The 22,712-nt window shown below is 35.8% G+C and overlaps 1 long non-coding RNA gene and 3 pseudogenes across 1 annotated transcript in view; 1 reads left to right on the top strand and 3 right to left on the bottom strand.

Moving 5' to 3' along the window:
• The window catches only part of LOC124905304 (uncharacterized), a 33,826-nt gene extending 22,419 nt beyond the window's left edge, over positions 1-11,407 (bottom strand). Inside the window, exons 1-5 of the long non-coding RNA XR_007068457.1 lie at positions 11,367-11,407; positions 8,803-8,965; positions 8,048-8,149; positions 5,482-5,685; positions 3,631-3,765 (exon numbers count right to left, since the gene is read on the bottom strand). This is a non-coding gene — a long non-coding RNA (uncharacterized LOC124905304). The remainder of the gene's footprint in view (positions 1-3,630; positions 3,766-5,481; positions 5,686-8,047; positions 8,150-8,802; positions 8,966-11,366) is intronic.
• USP9YP5 (USP9Y pseudogene 5) lies at positions 1,153-4,534 on the top strand (annotated as a pseudogene).
• On the bottom strand, positions 8,048-14,361 carry USP9YP14 (USP9Y pseudogene 14; annotated as a pseudogene).
• RNU1-48P (RNA, U1 small nuclear 48, pseudogene) lies at positions 8,676-9,037 on the bottom strand (annotated as a pseudogene).

Genomic DNA, 22,712 nt, shown 5'->3' with positions numbered 1-22,712 from the left:
CACTAATTACAGTAGCAAAGGCATTGAATTACTCAGATGCCCATCAGTAACAGACTGGATAAAGAAAGCATGGCACATATATACCATGAAATAATATGCAGCCAATAAAAGAAGGAGATCATGTTCTCTGAAGGGAGATGGGTGAAGCTGGAAGCCATCATCCTCAGCAAACTAACACAGAAATTAAAAACAAAAACAAGCAGTACATGTTCACAATCAACAATGTTCACATTGAACATTAAAGACACATAGACACAGGAAGAGGAGCAGCATTTAAAAATAAAAAGCTTTCTTTCTGCAGAGGTGAGGTTATAGTAACTTTGAAATGTGTGCTGCGCTTTATTTAGGACATTTTTGTAATTGCAGTTCAGAGTTGCCACAAACTGCATTGAAAAGTAAATAAGCAGTATATCTCAATTCTTAATTGATTTAATTTATTTTCTTTTATTTTTATAAAGGAATCTCACATTGTGTCTTTGGCTGGAGTATAGCAGTGCAATCTTGGCACACTGCAACCCCCTGCTTCCCAGTTTCAAGTGATTATTCTGCCTCAGCTTCTTGATTAGCTGAAATTAAAGGTGAGCACCACCACACCTGATGGGATTTGACCATATTGGCCAGGCCTGTCTCAAGCTCTTGGCTTCAAGTATGCTCCCTGCCTTCGCCTCCAAAAGTGCTGAAATTACAGGTATGAGTCACCATGCCTTGTCCTTGATTGAATTTCTAATTGAGAAAACATCCATCTTGCAAAAACTTATTTTTATATCATCTTTTTGATGACTTTGTTTATATGTCTCATAATTCAAGAAAAATAACGTAATTTTAATGCATTTTCTTTTTTTGAAAATAAATTTACTTCCATTAATGTGTAATTAAAAGAGTAGGTTAATTTAGAATGTTATTTTTCTTTTGGGTAAAACTCTCAAGTTTTAGAAATTTCTTCAAAAATCTAATTTTGGAAATGAATTACATTTATTGATTGTCCTCGGTTTTTTTTAAATGATTTTTCTTTGGAACACAATCCAAAATTGTTTCAAGATATAATGAGATGTTTATGTCAAATAAACATAAAAGTATTTTCTTGAAAAGACATATTTTTCTTAACATATGTTTTCTACTAATAACATGTGATTTCTTTTTCTAACTTACTAGGAATTAATTGATGTTGTTCTCTTCCCTGCATCAAGTTTAACTGTAGTATTTAAGAAGTAAAGAACTGCCAGCAGAGCCAGCTCTTCCAGTCTGTAGCTCTACCATTGCCATCAATCCTGGTTTTGATCTACTTGTGGCACTAGCTATGGGCTGTGGAAAGAACCTCAGAAAGATAGTAGACTGATTGAATGCAATATATTACATAGACAAAGCAGTAACTAGTGAGTTTTTAAATTATAAAGCTGTTTTTCTTCATTAATAATAGTTTACTTTGAAAGTAATTCAATGAAACCCACTTTCATAATACGAGAAGAGAACTTTGGGGTGCATTGTATTACTTCTAAATATCCACGTCAGTACAGCAAAGTAAGTAGCAATGTTCAAATCTTACATGGAACTGAAACTCAGGGTGGGAGGTAATATAAGTAAATTAACAAATGATAACAAAATTTAGTTTATTTCAAGAGAAAACTGAGGTTTTAGAATACAATTAACAACAGCATTCTGTACATAACTTTAATTGATAAATGTGAAATTATATTTATGTTTTTCTCTGTGTGAGCATATTTTCTAGCACATTGTAGGAGTTTTGTACTAAACTCACTGCTTAAAAGATCAGATCTTTATTTGTCTTGTGGCAACCATGTAGAGAGAAGAGTTTTCTTTTTAAAAACACTTTGTATGTTAATTTATTTAACAATTGAATTGACATAGTTATATGTATATTCAAAAGAGGTTTTTTTAAACAAATACTTTCCTTTTTAAACAAACAGATGTTATGTCATTAAAATATGGACCTAAAGGGTCTGAAGTTAAAAATCTATAATAGTCACTTGATTTGTTGTTAATATAAAAATCTAAAGTACTCTTTCAAAACGGCAGTGTTGATAAATGAGTTGTTGTTAATATTAATTTGTCACTTGACGGAAAGAAGAGTAGGCAGAGTTATTATTTTCATAGTACAAGCACTATTTTTTCTTGTTATCTCAGGTTGTGAAGCACTTTTTCAGGGGGAATATCTGCACTCTGTTAGATCTCACCCACCAGAAATATTTGTGGGACTCAAACTGCTGGTGCCACCTATCACATGAATTTTGTGATCCAGCAGCTATACACACACACACACACACACACACACACACACACACACACACACACATATATATATATATATATATATATATATATATATATATATATTCCACTGGAAGCAGTGTTCTCGCAATTGAATGCATAGGTAAAAATATAGACAATGATTTTTTGAAGATGAGAAGCAGAACGGTGAGGTAAATTCTAATTATTAATTTCTGTTACTGTGTTTGAAGATTCTGATAGCAGCTACTCTTTTGTCTCTGAAATTATTGTGCTTTAAAATAATCATGTAGGAAGTATGTTTTCATAATATAGCTAAAATCTCTGAGATACTATAACTGACATATTTATATTATTTGCATTTCAGAAGCTGTGCTTATTTTTAAAATTCTCTCTATATTTTTCCCAAATGAAAGCTTTTTCTGCTAAAGAAACAAATTTGTTCTTCATATTATGCTATGTGAATTTGTAAAAAATATTAGTTAAGAATTATGATCACACTGCCTATGAAAAGTATTCATTTTATAATAAAGCGTAAAGAAGTTAGGTCAGCAGATCACCTATTTAGGATATACCTCCAAATAAGTGAACATGGAATACATAAATTTTGGTAATGTTTATGCTCAAGCCCTTTATTATTATTATTTTACTTTTTGTATAGATATCGACAGAAGGTAAATTTAAAAATCAGTCTAGTTTAACTGTAGTAAATGGTTTTCCTATAATTCTTCATTTTTTCCTTTCAGTGGGCAGAAATAGTTTGTCTTTCAGCTACTAGTGTATCAACACTTATCATTTATGGAAATTACAAAACACACACTTTCTTTTTTTTTTTGAGACGGAGTCTCGCTCTGTCGCCCAGGCTGGAGTGCAGTGGCGGGATCTCGGCTCACTGCAAGCTCCGCCTCCCGGGTTCACGCCATTCTCCTGCCTCAGCCTCCCAAGTAGCTGGGACTACAGGCGCCCGCCACTACGCCCGGCTAATTTTTTGTATTTTTAGTAGAGACGGGGTTTCACCGTTTTAGCCGGGATGGTCTCGATCTCCTGACCTCGTGATCCGCCCGCCTCGGCCTCCCAAAGTGCTGGGATTACAGGCGGGAGCCACCGCGCCCGGCCCACACACTTTCTTTCTCTTTCCTAGACGCAGTAAATTGTATCATCCATGCATCGCAGTCAGGGTAGCTTTACTTTTAGCAGAATCTTCATATAGGATATTCACCAATACTTGGTTAACAGCCACTATTGGAAGAAAAATTGGAATGTAAGTTCTGGTACCATAGTCCGTGTTACCCCTAGGGTGTTGAATTTAACACATATAGAGATGGCTACTCACAACAGCAAGAAGCAATAGAAACAGAATATAAAATTTCAAATTACATATCTTACCTTTGTACTTGGTTGCTTGTGATTTATGTTGTCTCAGCACTGTACTGTGGCATGTATATCTGCCTTTTTCCTTTTTCTATGCAATGAGCTTCTCCAGGGCAGGAACTGGGCATTGTTTATTTCTTCATCACAAACCTAAGACACAATGAAAAGCATACAGAAACCTCTCAGACACTTGTAAACCAACTGTATTTTGCTCTATGGCTACAATCATGTTTTGATTTTAGAGCTTCTGTCTATGCTCTCATTCCTTCCACAACTACGGTTAATAGGCATATTTATTGAGTCTTAATAATACTGATCTCCTCAAGTAAATAATCTTATGTAATTTGGAAAATGCATTATTCTCAAAAAAGATACTGAATCCATCTTACAAACCCTATGTAACGTATTCCCCCAAAGTAGAAGAGGACTCATTTGTCTTCACTCCTGCATACTTGACAAAATTTTACTATTTTATATTACCTGCAGTGTATGTTATTTCTTTGCTACTCTTTTATGATAACTTCTCCGTGAACCCAGTTATAACAGTTCATGTTTCAAATAAGCAATAATAGTAAAAAATAAAAAGTAAATAAAGTGCTTTTAAAATTAAGAGTATAAAAATGTATTTCATTTTATTCAGTAACTTTTGGTATTTGTTTCAACTTTTTTCCTTATATTTATAAAGTTAAACTAGTGCATTACTGATTTTTTTTTTTTTTTTTTGGTCTTTAATGTTGATCCCCAAGATAATTTACTAGAATATTTTTATTAATTTGAAGACAAACCAGAGTTAAGTAAGACAGGAGATAGAAAATCGTACAATATTAATGTCCTAGGACACCTTCAAGACATCTTTGTTCATTTAGCCGTTTTCAAACTGCAATCCTATGTACCCAGAGAGTTTTGGCAACAGTTAAGAGAAATTTTAGGTGAGTGCTTATTTCAGTTGTATAAAAACCTCAATACATTAACTAAACATTAGTCAGAAAAAAGCCTTCATTTAAAGGACAAGTATTAAGTGAAACTAGCCAAAAAATATAAAGGACAAGGATTGCATGTTTTTATTCATATCTCAGAAATAACAAATTTCATCTCATGGAGGTAGAGAATAGCATGACATATTATTACAGGCTGTGAAAGACATTGAGCAAACAAATAAGTGAGCTAGTTAATGTGTAAAAAATAAAGTTAGAAGGAATAGGTCCTAAAGTTTGATTGTATAGAAGGGAGACTATAGGTATGAATAACTTATTACAGATTTCAAAATAACTAGAAGTTTAGATTTGGAAAGTTCTTGAAACAAATATGTCATATATGTCTGAAATGACTAATATACCAATTACCAATAAGCCATTTAAAAATTTGCTCATTGCTCATTGTGTGCATGTATCAAAATAATAGTTCTACTTTGTAAATAGGTAAAATTATAATGCATCAATTTAAAGAAACAATAAATAATGGTCTATTTAAATAAGAAATTTCACTAAAGCTGTCCACTTCTGAATTGTAAAAAGCTCTTTCTCTCCACACGTTGGGGCTTTGTGATCCAAATTCTGATTTTAGAAGTACTGGCACATGTTCTTGGGCAGACTAAGGTGATGAGAGAAAACCCACACATGCCCCTCTTCAGCATTAGCTGGAAATTGTGGTCCAGGGCACTCCTGGATGCCATGAAATAATACGTGCCATTGGAAAGATAATTACTAGCTTGCCTTGCCTGCTTCTTTGACTGAAGACCATAAAATAATTATAAAACTTGCAACACCTATAACGTGTTGGGCAAAGTAAGGAAACAGTCTAATGAGGAAGTGCTCAGAACACTTCCAAGATAACATAAAAAATGGCTTTATAGGAGAAAAACGTTACCAGGGAAGTGCAAGGAGTTGCTCATCCTGTTCAAGAGCAGGTAGTAGGGAATTTTCTAGCATGTAGTCTGGAACCACCTCAGGAATTACTGGATCCCACTGTCACATGGGCAATGCCCTTTGAAGAGCTCCCTATTGACAACAACAACCTGCTTGGTTGATGAATGGCCGTTTCAAGGTGGATGAACAATGTCCTGTTGGCAGGCTTTCACAGAGACCAGAAATAAAAAGACCAATTGAAGATGGAATGAGCAAATTACCTCAATGATTGAACTGCATGCTGTTTTTTTTCTTTTTAAATAAAGGATTAAAAACATTAAACCATGATTTATAAAGGCAATTGTTTGAATTCATGAGTAGTAAATAGTAATCAACGTCCTGGCCATGTGAACAATAGAAAACTGGACTTTCAAACAGAAGCCTGTATGTGACACATGGACTTTCAATGGGCTGAGTCACATCCTGGCATCTTCTTAATAGTACAAATTTAAGGGGTACATTAAAAAAGGACATGTTGGTTCCCATTTGAAGAATCCTCTCCAGGATGATTGGAAGGTGATTAGAACCAGGACATCATGATGTATTCACTTGAGATGGCAACCTTATAGAGGTGCAGCAGTAAAGCAGGAATAGAATTAATCTACACTTATTTCTTTTGTACTCTTTAAGGAACAGAAATTCCCAAATCTAAGTCTAGGCCTGGAGAGAAATGTAGACTGCAAATAACAATAGGCCAAATAGGAAGGCCCATGACATAGTTGGATTACAATGTACCAATATCAGTAGCCCTGATAGTGTATTTATAGGTCTTGACTAATGTAGACTGCATTTGGCATTCATAATGTTCAATGCTAATGTTTACATACTATAAAAAGATAAAAACATAGTATATTCTAACCAGTTCAAACAAACGAATTGCTGTTCCTCACACTGTGCAACACACTTCATATCCTATTGTTTCCAACAATGGGCATAGAGATATTATATTGAATGAAAAAAATTGTATGAATTATTTAAAATCGGAAGGAGCTTATATCTTCAGTAAACCCTACCTCTAACAACAAACACTTTAAAATAACATAGAAATAAACTACGAGCCTTACTGCTTTCAAGGAAAATTGTGACTGGGTAGCAAAGCAGTCAGAAATCTTGGCACACTGGTAATTCAAAATACTGTGGATTCTGATAATATGCACTTCACTGGAATTAGATGAAGCCATGTTTTAAAAGCATCACAAGCATCACTTAGTAAATTCTATCACAAAAGTGCCCCAGTCCAAAAAAAAAAAAAAAAATACAGTCTACCATGCTCCACACATTGTGACATATGAAAAGTGTTCATGTTGGTTTTAATATTTTAGAATTTCTATTAAACATATGGCAATATTCCTTATCTCAACAAGAAATTAAACTATATTAAAGGTGAAGAACGTGTAGAATTATAATCTGCTTGTTTTTTACATTTTTCTGGTTTTAAAAAATAAGGTTTCTGAGCAATAAAGCTGTTACTCTGGGTGATTCCATCCCTTGGCTACATGAACTTGGTGAGAAGTCATGCTAAATGTTACAGCACAAGAAAACCTTTCAAATGATTAACTTAGCCAGGTGCCATGGCTCACCACCTGTAATACCAGCACTTTGAGAGTCCAAGGCAGGTGGATCACGAGGTCAGGAGATCCAGACCACCCTGGCTGACAAGGGGAAACCCTGTCTCTACCAAAAATACAAAATTAGCCACACGTGGTTGTGCATGCCTGTAATCCTAGCTACTTGGGAGGCTGAGGCAGGAGAACCGCTTGAACTCATGGGGTGGAAGTTGTAGTGAGCCAAGATCGCAAACATTGCAGTACAGCCCATGCAACAAGAGTGAAACTGCATCAGAAAAAAAGAAGGAAAGGAAGAAAGGAAGAAAGAAAGTAAGAAAGAAAGAAAGAAAGAAAGAAAAGAAAGAAAGAAGAGAGAGAGAATGAGGAAAAGAAAAGAAAAAGAAAAGAAAGAAAGAAGAAAGGAAGGAAAAGAAGGAAAGAAAGAAAGGAAAAGAAAGAAAGAAAGAGAGAAAGAAAGGAAGAAACAAAGAAAGACAGAAAGAAAGAGAAAAGTGCATTACTCACGTCGTGTCTAGTCTTCCCATAATATTTTAATAAAAATATTTGTTTTAACTTAGAAGTGCTCAGAAATGGTTTTTATTTATATTTTTGGTCAGTATTTGTTTTTTGGTAAATTTTGTATGAAAACTCGTAAAATTGTTAATTTTTACTGTCACTGGATTTTGAGAGAGATTAAATAAATTACTTTATGATCTTATTGAAATATGACACATTTTTATGAACTAGGACAAGGTAGTACCTAATTACAAACAAAATATCAAAAGGGTAAAATAAAACATGACCCCACTTGAAGCATTCTTCTTCTGATCATCTTGCCAAAGCTGCCCTAGATAATGTTTTTCTTAATTTACAGTCACAGCTGATACGTTACAAAATATGTAAGAAAATAATAATTGAAAACCACGTAAGTAAAGATGAAAATGAGTTCAAAAAAGAAAAATAAAAACTTTATTTATTTACCTATTGATACATAAAGCCTGTTGGATGAGGATATAATGGAGCATATTCTGTTGGAGAGGACTTATGCTCATCTAAGGCATCTTTGTCATCTGGCTTCAAATTCTAAATATTTAAAAAGACTGATTTATTTGATTATAAAAGTAACTTTGTACCTTATATTTAATTTTCTTCATTTAGAATAAACGTTAAGAAGTGCAAAAAAGCTGGCATCTTTAATATGTTTGCAATGCCTGCAAATGATTTGTAATACAGGGAAAAATATGAATTATTTTAGCTACATAATTTCTAGACCATTTCACACAAGTCATTTCCAAAAGGAAATACTTTCTAAGACCAAACAAACCAATGCTAACCATTTAATAAAATAAATATTTTTAAGGGCAATATTAATACATAAACATTGGCTTACACATTTAAAAATTATTTCTCTTTTTCCCAGATTTATCTGCTGCCCTTTGGGGGCTTCCCCCTGCCCACTCATCCAAAGTTTGAAAGCTTTTGTAAGTGTCATCCTAGCACTATTTGATCTTTCTAAGAAATAAACATTTGATGTTTTATTTTTGTGTACTGGAGGAGACCATTTTTTAGACACATGGAATTGTTTCCAGTATATGGTCTTCTTTCAAGTTTCTATATCCACTAAACGAGTCAATTTTCTTTCTTTCCTTTCCTTTCCTTTCCTTTCCTTTCCTTTCCTTTCCTTTCCTTTCCTTTCCTTTTCTTTTTCCACGTGAAAGTGCAAACACAGTCATTACTTCCACAAATTATGCAGTTGAGTTTCCCACACTTGGGGAAATCGTAGGAGTCAGCACATCCAGAATGCAATAGATCAGCCTTGCCCTGGGAAAGCCACCTTCATGATCACAGTATCTCCCCTGGCAGAGAAGTATCCATTTTCTTTTTAAGACTTCCATTATCCTTTGAAAGAAAATACAACTATAAATATAATAGAATTTAGAATAATTTTCAGTATGATTTCAATCATCCATGATTATCATCTTCTAAAAAAAACTTCTTGATTCTGACACAGGCTTCTACAAAATTGTAAGAAAAAATGCTATGGTAAACAATGAAACAGCTGCTAAATAAAGCTACCATACATTTTATGCACTGATATGCTCATTTCTGATAGTGACTCTCAGAGCGTTCTGTTATATCTAACAGCCATCATCGGTCTTCTGGAATTTTATTGTGCTCACTATGAGCTTTAAAAGTAAACAGATGAAAAGAATTTGTAATATCAAGTAGTAGCTAATATTTTATTGCCTAATATATGTCATTCAGAACAAGTTTTTGAGGTAAACTAATTAATATCAGAGTTAGTTTCCTAAGCAGGTAGCATTAGTAAATCCATTTAACAAATAAAAAAACTAATTACATTTAGGAGAAATACTTTGCAAAATACTACAGATTTAGCCAGTTGAGGAGCTAGCTAGCAATCTGACTCAAACATCTGACCTCTTGGCATATTACCAGTTTAAAACGTTTTGGCTAAATATGCTATCTATGCATTACTACAAGTGAATTAAAAACAGCAATGCTATATTACTTTTTATAGTTCTATTTTTTATTCAGATTATGCTCTGTGGCCCAGGCTGGACTGCAGTGGCATGATGATAGCACATAGCTCAATCAGTCCTCACACTCCAGGGTTCAAGTAATATACTCCTGCCTCATCCTTCCAACTACTTGGGATTACAGAAATGAACCACCATATCCAAATCTCCTCATTATTTTCACTAAAGATCATTAGACTTTTAAGACTACCTTTAAAAAAAATAAAAAACTTACTTGATATTCACTAATTGTTCAGAGACAACATTTTAGAATGTAAAGCAAGAATCCCAAGATTATAAAACAGGGATATAAATTGGCAGTACAGAATAGATTTCAATTCTAATAGTATAAGAGCACACTCATGATAGGTAAAGCAACTTACAATGGCAATAATAAAAGTTGCCCGATTTGCTAATGATCAGTCATTTTGTTTCAGGGCTAGCTAATTTACAACATATTTACACTGCCAACTGTCTGCTATTCTTAGGAGTCCAATCTAAAATTGCAAAAAAAATATGACTTCTGTCTTTTTTGTCATTACCAGGACAGATGAATAAAATTGTTTTTTCTTCTCTCTGCCATGTATCTTACTTTATATAATAAGAATATATTCCAAGTCAAAGACCAGGCTTTTTGTTTTTGCCATGGGAGCATTTATAATATAAATTTCTTTTGAAAAAGGTGATTTTTGTAATCTAATTATTTCAGTAAAGAATAACATGGATAGGCTTCTTGTAACACTTACAGTACACATTTAATTATCTCATTCTCTTAAAAATTATAATAAAGTGAAAATCATTTCATCTGCCACATTATCAATAGTATCAAATGTTTTCATGTGCAATTTGGATTAATATTATCTTTGCCTATATTTTTATCTGCCACCTTGAACAGTGGTTGGTACATAGCACTTGTTGATATATATCTGTTGAATACCACTTATTGAATAGACTAAATATTCGTCACACAGTACATTTCAAGCTAATCTTAATAAGGAGAATAATAAATTCCTACATCAAACCCACATTAATCCACAACCACTATTTTACACATTAACCCAACATGGATACCTTTACTGTAATCACTTCCTTGGATGAGATGAGGCTAAGATGTGATTTAGCCTTACTTTAGAGCAAATACAAGAAGTCACACAGTAAACAATATATGACAACAAACTATTTTCAAAATGGTATAAATTAAATCCCATTGATAGGAACTATTAATGTCATTCTACTACATTAATTAATCTGCTTGAAATCTATGATAGTGGACCAAAGAACAATTAGAACATTTTAATTCTTAAATTCTAATATTTTCAGTTCTTTAAAATTTAAGATTATCATTTGCTTTTAATCATTGTGTTCTACAGCTTTATAATAACTTTATTAGGTTTTCAGTGTGCTTATTATGATGTCTATTCAGTGAAAATTGTGTGTGTTTTTGTGTGTGTGGGCATGTGTGTATAGAGTTTCCAGATATATAATATGATTGTTTCTAGAATCCTATAACAATAAAACTTTGCATTTCCTGGCGGAGTTGTGCAGCTAATTCTGGTGCAATTCTTAGGCTTATTTTAAAGCAAATGACACAACTAAGAATACTGGAAGAATGCTAAGGATCTGTTTTTAGCATAAGCACAGTTTTTTAAAATTATGATTTTTCTCAAAACCAGGCTGGTCAAGACGGTGAAACCCCATCTCTTTTAAACATTAGCCAACTGTGGTGGCAGGCGCTTGTAATCCCAGCTACGCAGGACGCTGACCCAGAGAATTGCTTGAACCCAGGCGGCAGAGGTTTCAGCGAGCCGAGATTGTCCTCCTGCACTCCAGCCCGGGTGACAGAACGAGACTCTCTCCCAAAAAAAAAAAAAAAAAAAAAAAAAAAAAGAAAAAGAAAAAAAGAAAAAGAAAAAGAAAAAGAAAGAAATTATTCTTCTTACATACTAATTTAAACTACTTAGAGGCTACGGATTGCTTTTAGATAACTTAATGTTATCTACCATGTTAACATTAACTTTTTTAAAAAAAGTTTCCATTCTAAGACATTCCTTCCAATGACTTTTTTCATTATTACATCTATAGTAACACATGTATCCTTTTAGATGATTCCAAATTCTGGACATATGTATCCAACTCCCCATTACAATTTTTTATTTGGTTTCCCATATGTTTCTAAAATGCAATCCGCTCGAAGAGGTTCTCCTTTTTCTGTCAGTAAATTGCATTACTATTCCTTCAGCTTATCAAATCACATCCGGGGCGTAGGTGTTGTCTCTTTCCTGCTCCACTTCCTCAAATATCCAATTACCGACACCTGACTATACTAACTCATAAAGAGCTCATAAATCTGTCCACACATATGTTCTGCATTGCCGTTTTTGTAATATAGAGCACCCACAAAGTTTTTATACAGATAATTTTGAATACTTCCTTACTGTGGTCTATTGTGAAACTTTCTATGCTATAGCCTGTGAGTTGTTACAAATGTATGCCTTTTGTGATTCTCTAATGGTTTATCAAGTCACAGTGAATATCTCACATAAATGCTAGAAAAGCCAAGTTATGTCAATACTAAGTCTGTACCCACTAACTACTTAGAAAAAAAAATTAACAAAGCAACCCTTTTCTACTGCAAGTGCTTTTTACTCTCCAAATTTAAGACACATACTCCCTACAACAGGCAGCAGAGCCCTCTGTATTTTGTTTGTTTGTTTGTTTATTACAATCCTTTAATATTATCCCACCTGGACTGTTTATTCAGTACTGTATTTTCAAAATCATAATTAGGAGGGATTCAAAATACTTTATCTGAAATTCGAAAAGCTCAAGTAAGCAAGGCTTTTAAAAATAAGGTTGTTATGTAACTCAATTTCTGATGTAATAAAGACTTAATTGAGGGAAGCTATTTAAGTCTTCACCCATAAAGGGAATATTCATTTCTCGTCATAGAAACATTAGTATGTTTCATTCTTGGGTACTTTGGGGGCCTTACAGGGAATGGTACACGATGCGATGCAACTGTGTTGACTCAGTTTTCTCAAATTTTAAAAATTCCTAATACCTAAAACACACTGCCTAAATGCCTTAAGATGTATAAATGTATAATGAACTTCCTCAATTAAAATTAAACTTAGGTTATATTATAAACCAATCATGGGTTTTGTAAAAGCAACTAAAATCTCAAGTTAAATTGTGCAAGACAAAATTTTTGTGAGTTCTTGAGTATGATACTTTTACATTCAAAATAATTATTGTGTTTATGTTTGTATAATATATGCTCCTACTCTACTAAAAGTATCCCAGCATCTCAGAGGTAGTCAGGCAAGGCTGAGGAAAAGAAAGCACAGAGATCGTTAGAGCAGGAAGAGTAAAGGGTAAAATGTATTTCCTCTTGAAGGTAAATATTAATAATACAAATAACACTTTCATTACAGGAATGTGTGACCATAGAAATTAGTTTTGATAGGAAAATATTTGTAATTTAAACAAATTACTTAAAATGATCTGCTAATTGTCTGAGTCATTCATATAAATATGACCTAATATTTATCAATATCACTGAGATATTATCTAGTAATTAAATTTTAAATAGATCCATAAATTAGTAATTTTGAAATGTTGCACTAACATTGAATACAGTACAAATATTTTTGTTGTACGTTTCTGACAATCTATCCATGCCTTTAGGACTACTGTGCAATAGGCTGATGTGAGGAAAATCAGACTACCCTAAGAGACATTTACTTAAACCTGCATTTCTTAATTTATGCTAATAGCAACAAAAATTTTAAGTGAATTATTTATTTACATTATCACCAAATTTCTTTTTCTTTATTTTAACAAAAGCATACATATGCGCTAAGTTTCTCATAGATGTCATTTTTAAACCTGAAAAGCAAAACAACTAATTGGTATCCCCTAAGGATGTGGATACCTTTCCCAAGTTCTAGAAATTCTGATTTAGATAGTGTGGGATATGACCTGGAAGTTAGTACTTTTCAAAAAGCAACATTAAGAGATAACATCGGCTGGGCACAGTGACTCAAGTCTGTAATCACAGCACTTTGGGAGGCCGACATGTGCAGATTACAAGATCAGGAGTTTGAGACCATCTTGGCCAACATGGTGAAACCCCGTCTCTACAAAATACAGATATATATATATACATATATATTTAACCAGGCGTGGTGGCACACCTGTAGTCCCAGCTTCTAGGGAGGCTAAGCCTGTGGAATCACTTGAACACAGGAGGTGGAGGTTGCAGTGAGCCGAGATCTTGTCCCTGCACTCCAGCCTGGACACAGAGCTAGACTCCATCTCCAAAATAAATAAATAAATAAAAGAGAGAGAAAGATAACATCAATCGGGCACAATATCTAATCTTAAAGATTACCAGAAAAATAAAACAAATGCATAAATAACCTAAGAATACATGAAATACATTAAAGTTACACAGATTTGCTATGCATTTTTATATATATATATATATGTATCTATATGTATATATGTATATGGAATATTGCCTGTACTTTAGGACACATTACATGTAATAACTTGATTAAAAAATGATTCTCATTTTATATTTAAAAATAAAAACATCATTGATATAACATGAAAATGTCTTACCTAAACTGGCATACATTACAAACAGGTAAATACATTTCTGTAAATAAAATCCCTATGATCTGAATCTTTTCTTCTAAGGACGTTAGGTACTCCTCTTAGTAACTGATCACTCTTGCTCAAGTTGTTGCATTTCTGTGAAAAAGAAGTATTCATTGGTGTAATAGAATCAAGATTACAAAACAGCTTCTATTTGAATAAAAAGAGTCTCGTTCTTATAAAGAGCAAACATCTAACAAAGAAAATGATTAAATACAATTCCTCTTTGAGAGAGAAAATAAAGAGCTGTGGTAAATTTTATTGTATATTTTTATGCTGCTATAATTAAAACAACAACAACACTTCCACAACTTCAATAGAATAATTTAAACCATTTAGTGATTTATATTATCAGTAATTTTAATTTTCTATTACAGTTTTCTTACTAAAATACCTTTCAATTTAACCAGTAGAAAAGTAAATTTAAGAAAATATAAACTTCAGTGATTTCCTAAATAATTGTGAATATTCAATACACAAAATAATTTAATCTTGTTTTTCAGAGGGCTGAGAAATCACTATTTATTACCATAAAATAATTTTTAAAACTCACAGGTGTTATAATATATGTAAGCATGCATTTGTGTATGGCAAAGACATCAAATAGAATCATATAAATTTTCTGATTTGAATTTGCAGACAACAGAATTTACATCTAAGTATATAATTACTCCAAAAAACAAAACAAAACAAAACTAACAGCTGTGCAATTACCTGACTAGAAAGTGATAGAGCAGGAGCACCTTCATCTTGAACAAATACTGCCACATTAACTTCCAGCTCTCTTTTTAGCCTCATGCATTTCAAGGAAATCACTTCTCTTCTTACTACAAATAATAAGCACATTCCTTTCCCTTCAGGTGCACTAAGATACGGAAGCTAGAAGCAGACATGGGGGACATGCCTGCAACTCTAGAAAGCTGTATGAAAACAGACACACAACACTCTCTGTCAGATAACCACAACAAAGAGACACAGAGGCAGTCCAACCCTCTGATAAGCACTGTGAGACTGAATCACGGAATACTCTTAGTCTGTTAACAGAGTGTGGCTCTGACTTAACCTGGCCAGCCGCCCCTCTCACACTGATTAAAAATAAACCTGTCCCTGTTGACTGTCAAGCTACCCTTCAGGTTTCTCTCCTCTTTCTTTAATCCTTACATTGGTTGCTGATACCCAGGACCGGTATTGGTGGCAGAGGCTCCCTTACATCCCAGGAAGCTGTGGGCAATGGCAGCTTATCCTAAGCAAACTCCTGGATCCTGAGAGTCTCTGGCCACCTGCCCCATCTTTTTGCTCATTTTACTCTTCAAGCGATTTGTGTGAGAAGGACAACTGACCTGAAGGAAACTGCAAGGCTCAGGCCAGGGCTCTAAATCCCTCAAGTCTCAGGAATCCACCCCTAACACTGGCTCCCTCTTTCCTCTCTCTTTCTCTCTCTCTCTCTCTCTCTCTCTCTCTCTCATTCTCTTACTCTCTGTTCCTCATATATCGCTAGTCTGGCAGTCCCTTTGCCAATTCCAACTGGAATATCCAAAAGACAACACTAATTCAGCCATCTGGTAAGATCTGCCTTTTCCTGCCTTTCTCGTGGTACCATAGAAAGTCCAGACTGCTGTCCACTTCCTCAAAGGACCAATGGGATAAGCTCAAGGAAATCGTGGGGACATGAAGTGCTTTCCCAGCATAAGTGTCCTCTTTCAGAAGGAGGATTCCGGGTCTCTGTCTATTGTCTGGGGACATCTAGTACAAAACAGAGCTATCGTAAAATACCTTTATAGCAAATGCAGCTTCCAACAAACATTAATAGTTAAGTATGTGAATGTACAAATTTATCATTCAGTTGTACACATAGGAAAGGTTTAGTATTACTGACATTTACAAGAAAAACAGACAAACAAACAAACTTAACAGGTTTTACATTAACGTAAAAATTGCCAAAAGTATATTATAACATGTATTATAAAAGTATTATAACATGTAACTGAAAGTGCTAAACATAAATTTTCATGCAAGGTGTATAAAAACAGTAAAAAGTTAAAAATTGTAAGAAGACATAAAAATGTACATTTTGATTAAAAATGTAAAAATAGGTTTCGGGAGACACTGAGCTAGCTTGAAGAGTTTTTTTTTTTTTTCATACCCCAGTGGCACCTGAAATGTCAGAAAGAAAGAACCATTCACTCCCTTGAATTGGGTGAAGCCATGGAGCCAAGTGGTCTAGCTCAGTGGATGTCACCCCTATGGAGTCTAGCAAGCTAAAATCCACTGCCTCGAAATTCTTGCTGCCAGCACAGTAGTCTGAAGCCAACCTGGAATGCTTGAGATTGGTGGGGACAGGGATGTCCACCATTACTGAGGCTTGAGTAGGTGGTTTTTCCCTTTACAGTATAAACAAAGCCACTGGGAAGTCACCGCAGCTCAGCAAAGCTGCTGTAGCCAGACTGCCTACCTAGATTCCTCCTCTTTGGTCAGAGCATCTCTGAAAGAATGGCAGCAGCCCCAGTTAGGGGCTTATAGACAAAATTTCCAACTCCCTGAAACAGAGCCCCTGGGGGAAAGGGTGGCTGTAGGTACAGCTTCAGCAGACTTAAACCTTCCTTCCTGCTGGCTCTGAAGAGAGCTGCAGATCTCCAAAAGACTGCCTCCTCAAGTGGGTCCATGAAGCTCATGACTCTTGATGAGGAGACACCTCCCAGCAGGGATTGACAAGCACATCATAGAGGAGTGCTCTGGCTGGCACCTGGCAGGTGCCCCTCTGGGATGAAGCTTTCAGAGGAAGGAACAGGCAGCAATCTTTGCTTTTCTGCATCCTCTGATAGTGATACACAGGCAAAAATGGTCAGAAGTGGACTGCCAGCAAAGTCCAGCACACCTGCAGCAGAAGGGCCTGATTGTTAGAAGGAAAACTAACAACAGAAAGGCATAGTATCAACATCTACTAAAAGGATTTCCTCTCTATATAGGAATACACATATATACTACATATTCAAGTTTTATTTTATATATATAAATTTATATATATATAATGTTATATATATATATTGAATATATATATATTCAAAGGTCACCAACATCAAAGAATGAAGGCACATAAATGAACAAAGATGAAAAAAGAAATCGCAAAAAGGCTGAAAATTCCAAAAACGAGAACACCTCTTCTCTTCCAAAGGATCACAACTCCTCGCCAGCAAGAAAACAGAACTGAATAGAGAATGAGTTTGAGGAATTGATGGAAGTAGGTTTCAGAAAGTGGGTAATAACAAACTCTTCCGAGCAAGAAAGAAAGTTCTAACCCAATGCCAGGAAGCTAAAAACCTCAAAAAAAGGTCAGGGGAATTGCTAACTGGAATAAAGAGTTAAAGGAAAAACATAAATAACATGATGGAGATGAAAAACACAGCACAAAGACTGCATGAAGCATACACAAGTATCAATAGCCAAATCGATGAAGTGGAAGAAAGGATATCAAAGACTGAAGATCAATTTAATGCAACGAAGCATGAAGAAAAGGATAGAGAAAAAGGAATAAAAAGGAACAAACAATGTCTCCAAGAAATATGGGACTATTTGAAAAGACTAAACCTACTTTGTTTGTTAGTTTGTTTGAGATGGAGTCTTGCTCTATCGCCCAAGCTGGAGTGCAGGGGAGCGATCTCGGCTCACTGCAACCTCCTCCTCCCAGGTTCAAGGGATTCTCCTGCTTCAGCCTCCTGAGTAGCTGGCATTAAAGGCATGTACCATCATGCCGGGGTAAGTTTTGTAATATTAGGAGAGACAGAGTTTCGCCATATTGCCAAAGCTGGTCTTTGACTCCTGGCCTCAAGTGATCTGCAGACCTCAGACTCTCAAAGTGCTGAGATTAGAGTCATGAGCTACCATGCCCAGCCCAATTTCAACTTGTTTTATAAAATTTCTGTGACATCCTCCACCTTCCCTTCACCCACAAAATGTTAGAATTCCAAAATAGGGGCCTTTGAAGAATCTCCAAGGAACACTTGTCCCAGGGACCCTGAGGAGGTAGCTACTCAGAATTAGATGACAGATTACACTGGGAAATTGAGGACAAGAAGAGAACCTAGGATAGTTTCCAAATGTCTAGCTGAGGGGAACAAACAGAATGTGGCCTCTCTTCTAAGATGCCCTGATCCCAATCTGTAAAACTTGTGAGTATGTTAGGGCTCATGACAAAGACAAATTACGGTTGCTCATCAGTTGACCTTAAGATAGGAAGATTGCCCAGGATGATCCACCTTGATCAATGCCATTAAAATGGCCTTAAAGGTAGAAGATGGAAGCAAAAGAGGAAAGTCAGGAGGAAGTCACAGAAGAATGGAAAAGCAATGTGATATTGATGGCTTTGAAAACAGAGGATGGGGCTATAGCTAAGGAATGCAGGAGGCCCCTAGAAGCTAGAAAGTACAAGGAAACAAATTCTCCTCTAGAGCATCCAAGAGGGACACAGTCCTGAGCACACTTAGATTGTAGCCCAACAAGTACCTGTGTTGCACTCCTGTGCCACAGAAGTGTAAGATGATACACTTGTCTAAGCCACTAAATTTGTAATAATTTGTTACAGTGGCAGTAGGAAACTAAAATAGGCCAAAGCCAGAAAAACCTGTAGATATGAGAGAAAAGGAAGGAAACTCAAGGAAGTGTCAGCAAATGAGTAGAAGGCACATTATCTTAAGAGACTGGGGACAAAGGGAGTTCATCTGCCGGGGGAATGCGTTTCAAAGCACTGTAGATAAGTTGTTGCACAGAGGCAATGAGGCATCAAGGTGAAGATATCTGCAGCAATATGGAAATGAGAGTGTGAGAAAGGGGTGGTTCCTCTCCACTGTGTATCCCCACCACTAATACAGAAATTGGTACACAGCAAGTGTTCAATGCTGGCTGAATGGTACTGGAGGGTAGTGGCATAGCCTGCAGCATAGACAGTGCTGAAATGCAAGAATGACAGACATGGCAAGATTTCAGTGTTAAGTAGACTCAACAGAGCAAAGAGCCTTCTGAAACTTCTCATGCTGATGTCTCAGGGGTTTCAGAGGCTCCATGATGAAGTTTATGTTCAGGTGGTCGACAGCAACTTTGTGAGAAGTTACTGAAGTTTTTTAAGTTACCTATGAAGAAATCCTGCATAACAAGAAACTGGGCTTGCTGGCTGATGAGAGGGAGCCAGGACCCTTATTTGCGACGGAAACAGCAGCTGTCTCTGATAGGTGGGCAACCTGGTCTTTGACAGGGAGAAGTCTAAAGAAATCAACTTGGTGATATGAGGAGATCTCCCAATACCTTAACTTTAAGGAGTCTACATACACTAACTAGTAATCAACATACGCATGGGACCAGACATCAGTGAGTATAGAATCAAAAGGCTAAAAGGCCTCCAGTGAGTGGAAGTATGACACACACACACACACACACACACACACACACTATATATATATATATATATATATATATATATATATATATATATATATATATCTATCTCAGGCTTTGGGGTTGACCGTAACTTAGTCTAGCTAAGCATTTAAATCAATAACTTGAATGAAGACAATTTATCACATTTAAAAATAACACCAAGGGTTTATTTATTAGAATTCACTAGAAGGCAGAAATTAGGATTCAAAATGATCTCTGTGGCTAAGAGAGTGGAATGCAATTAACAAGATAGAAGTTAAGCAAATAGTAAAGAAAGCCCTGTGCTTTGGATTAGAAATCAACTGTACAACAATAGGACAAGGGAAACCTAGATTAAGAACAGTTCACCTACATCAAGAAAAGTGTTAACTTACTGCAAGCTCTATAAGATATAAAAGTCTGAGAGTTTGGTCAAAAAGCTAAGGCAATTCTAGGTGGTATTAAGAGCAAGATCGGGGAGAATGTTCATGCTCTCTTAGGGGAAGAAAGTGAGTTCTGGGAATCATATCATCTTTGTGGAAGAAACTCATTTCTGGAAATCTATCGTAAATTAATCCATAACTCTGACCTGTGTGTGTTATAGGTGAGGGGAGGGCAAGATTTATGCTGGGGAAAGCTCTGGAAAGAAGACAAAAGCAATTGAAGGAACTGAGGATGTTTAAATGGTGCTGAGAAGACCTTTTTGGGGTGGAAGGGGAGCGGGGTATGGCATAGTACTATCTTTAAATACAATAAGCTGCCTAATGGAAAAGGAATTTGGCTTGGAATGGCAAATGAGTTTCTTCTCATGAGTGAAATCTAATCAACTGGTATTGACTGCCATGAACTGGGGTTGAGAAATTTTCTGAGACTAAGTGTGGAAAGAAAAGGGGAAGAATGCTGTGTAGAAAAGAATGTAGGAAAGAATGCTGTGATCATTTATCCTTGTCTCATATGGATTTCAAGAAATACAGTACCTACCTGAGGCTGAACTTGACAGACTTATTCCAAACCGTTACATAGGTCAAGCCCAGGGTTGCTCAGTTGAAGTCACTGAAAACTACAATCTAATGGGTGGCTAGAAGACCACCAGTGGCAGAGTAAGAGCATGCTTAATGAACTTGGAAGTCCCTGCTCTTAGTTTAATTTGCAGGACAATGCACGACAAAACTCATGGACTGTCGTTCCAAACACATCCCTTTTTGTAGCTGGCCTCTGTAGAGACTCTACAGAAGAGCTTCTGGAAAAACTGTTCTTTCCTGCCAACAGCAGTGTTTTCAGTCATCCCATAGACCTGGGGTCCCTGATCTAGCATGGTACATGTCTGTTGCAATAAGGAGGGGCAGTTTGAACACTGTTGATAGGTGTCTAATGTGACAATTTTCTGTTAATATTATAAGCAATTATCCCACCTTTGGGAGAAGTTATGCTAGTTTTTGAAGAGCATTTTATCTAATTGTATTCATATATTCAACTGTGTGATCAAAAGTGGGAGTGCGGTCGGGAGTGAGGGGATCTTCAGACACAATCTTTTTATTTGCTTGTTTGCTGTTGTTGCCCAAGCTAGAGTGCAATGGTGTGATCTCAACTAACTGCAACCTGCACTTCCTCGGATCAAGTGATTCTTCTGCTTCCGACTCCCAGAGAGCTTGGATTACAGATGTTATGCCACCACACCTCGCTAATTTTTTTGTATTTTTAGTGGAAACCGGGTTTCACCATGTTAGCTAGGCTTGCCTGGAACTCCTGACCTCAAGTCATCCTTGAGCCTCCACCTCCCAAAGTGCTGGGATTACAGGTGTGAGCCACCATGCCCAGCCGATTATTATTACTTTTTCTACAGTGGACTGGTGATACTACCTAACAACATTTACAAGCTATCAACCTACTTTTAGAACACTGCTTTCATCATTTCATTATCCCATTCAAAAGCCTGGATGCATCTCAACTACAGGATCATGTACTGGTATTCAAAGCAGACTCTCACATTGGTCATGTCTTTTCTCAGCCCTATTGTTCCACCTCCACTAGAGTTTAGTTGTTTATTGTTTCTTCTTCCCCAAATCCACTTTGACTGTATCCACTTCAGAGCTACTATTATTTCTCTCGTCCTGCCTGGAATGTTCTCCCTGATTCTGCCTGCAACTCCTACCTATTTTTTAAAATCCAACTAAGTCTCTCCTCCTCAATTATTTCCACCAAAAACCTATAGGTTCTCCACTTCCTAAGAAGTCCTGTCACTCATACTGCCTCTCAAAGACTTTAAGTTTCTCACAGCCAGTGATCAAAATTCACTGTACACTTCTTCAATGCTGTGTACAAAGCTGAAACTGATCAAATTTGGTCCTCACAGGACTTAGATACTTTTTCAGGCTTATATTCCCAGCATACAACTCTGGACTCAGGGTAGATTCCTCACTGCCCCCAGAAGGGCCTAGATTTTTGTTTGTTTGTTTGGTTGGTTGGTTTTTATTACTTTATTCATTTTTCCCCATCCCTGCCATGCTATTCTTTTGACCCACCACCCAAATCCTACGCATCAAGACCCTGAAGAGTTTACACTTTTTCCAAGAGATGATCTGAATCCCTTCCATATTCAACCACCTCTCCTTTAAACTCATTACTCAATTTATATATATATATCTTACGTAAGATATATATTCATATATATATATATCTTACGTAAGATATATATTCATATATATATATATATATTTCTTAGCTCTTGCTCAATTATCTGGCTGTAACGTGTTCATTATTGCTTCTGAGAGGTTCGGTTGCTTTTCTTTTTATTTACATGTAAACATTATGAGGTCAGGCTCGCCTTTCCTCACAATACACAATGGTGGCTACTCAAAAACATTTAGCTTTGTGGATCTCTACCCTAAGCCATCTTGCTTCCAAGAGTTCATCTGGCAATGTCTGGGGACACTTTTGGTTGTCTCGCTTGGAAGAGAAGGTACTATTGAAAAAATAGAGACCAAGGATACAGCTGAATCTACAAAGCACAGGACAGCCTCCCAAAACAAAGAATCTGCCGG

The sequence above is a fragment of the Homo sapiens genome, chromosome Y (assembly GCF_000001405.40).
Source record: "Homo sapiens chromosome Y, GRCh38.p14 Primary Assembly".
Lineage (NCBI taxonomy): Eukaryota > Metazoa > Chordata > Mammalia > Primates > Hominidae > Homo > Homo sapiens.
The sequence above is the reverse complement of the archived record's forward strand: the minus strand, read 5'-3'. Positions and strand labels throughout refer to the sequence as shown.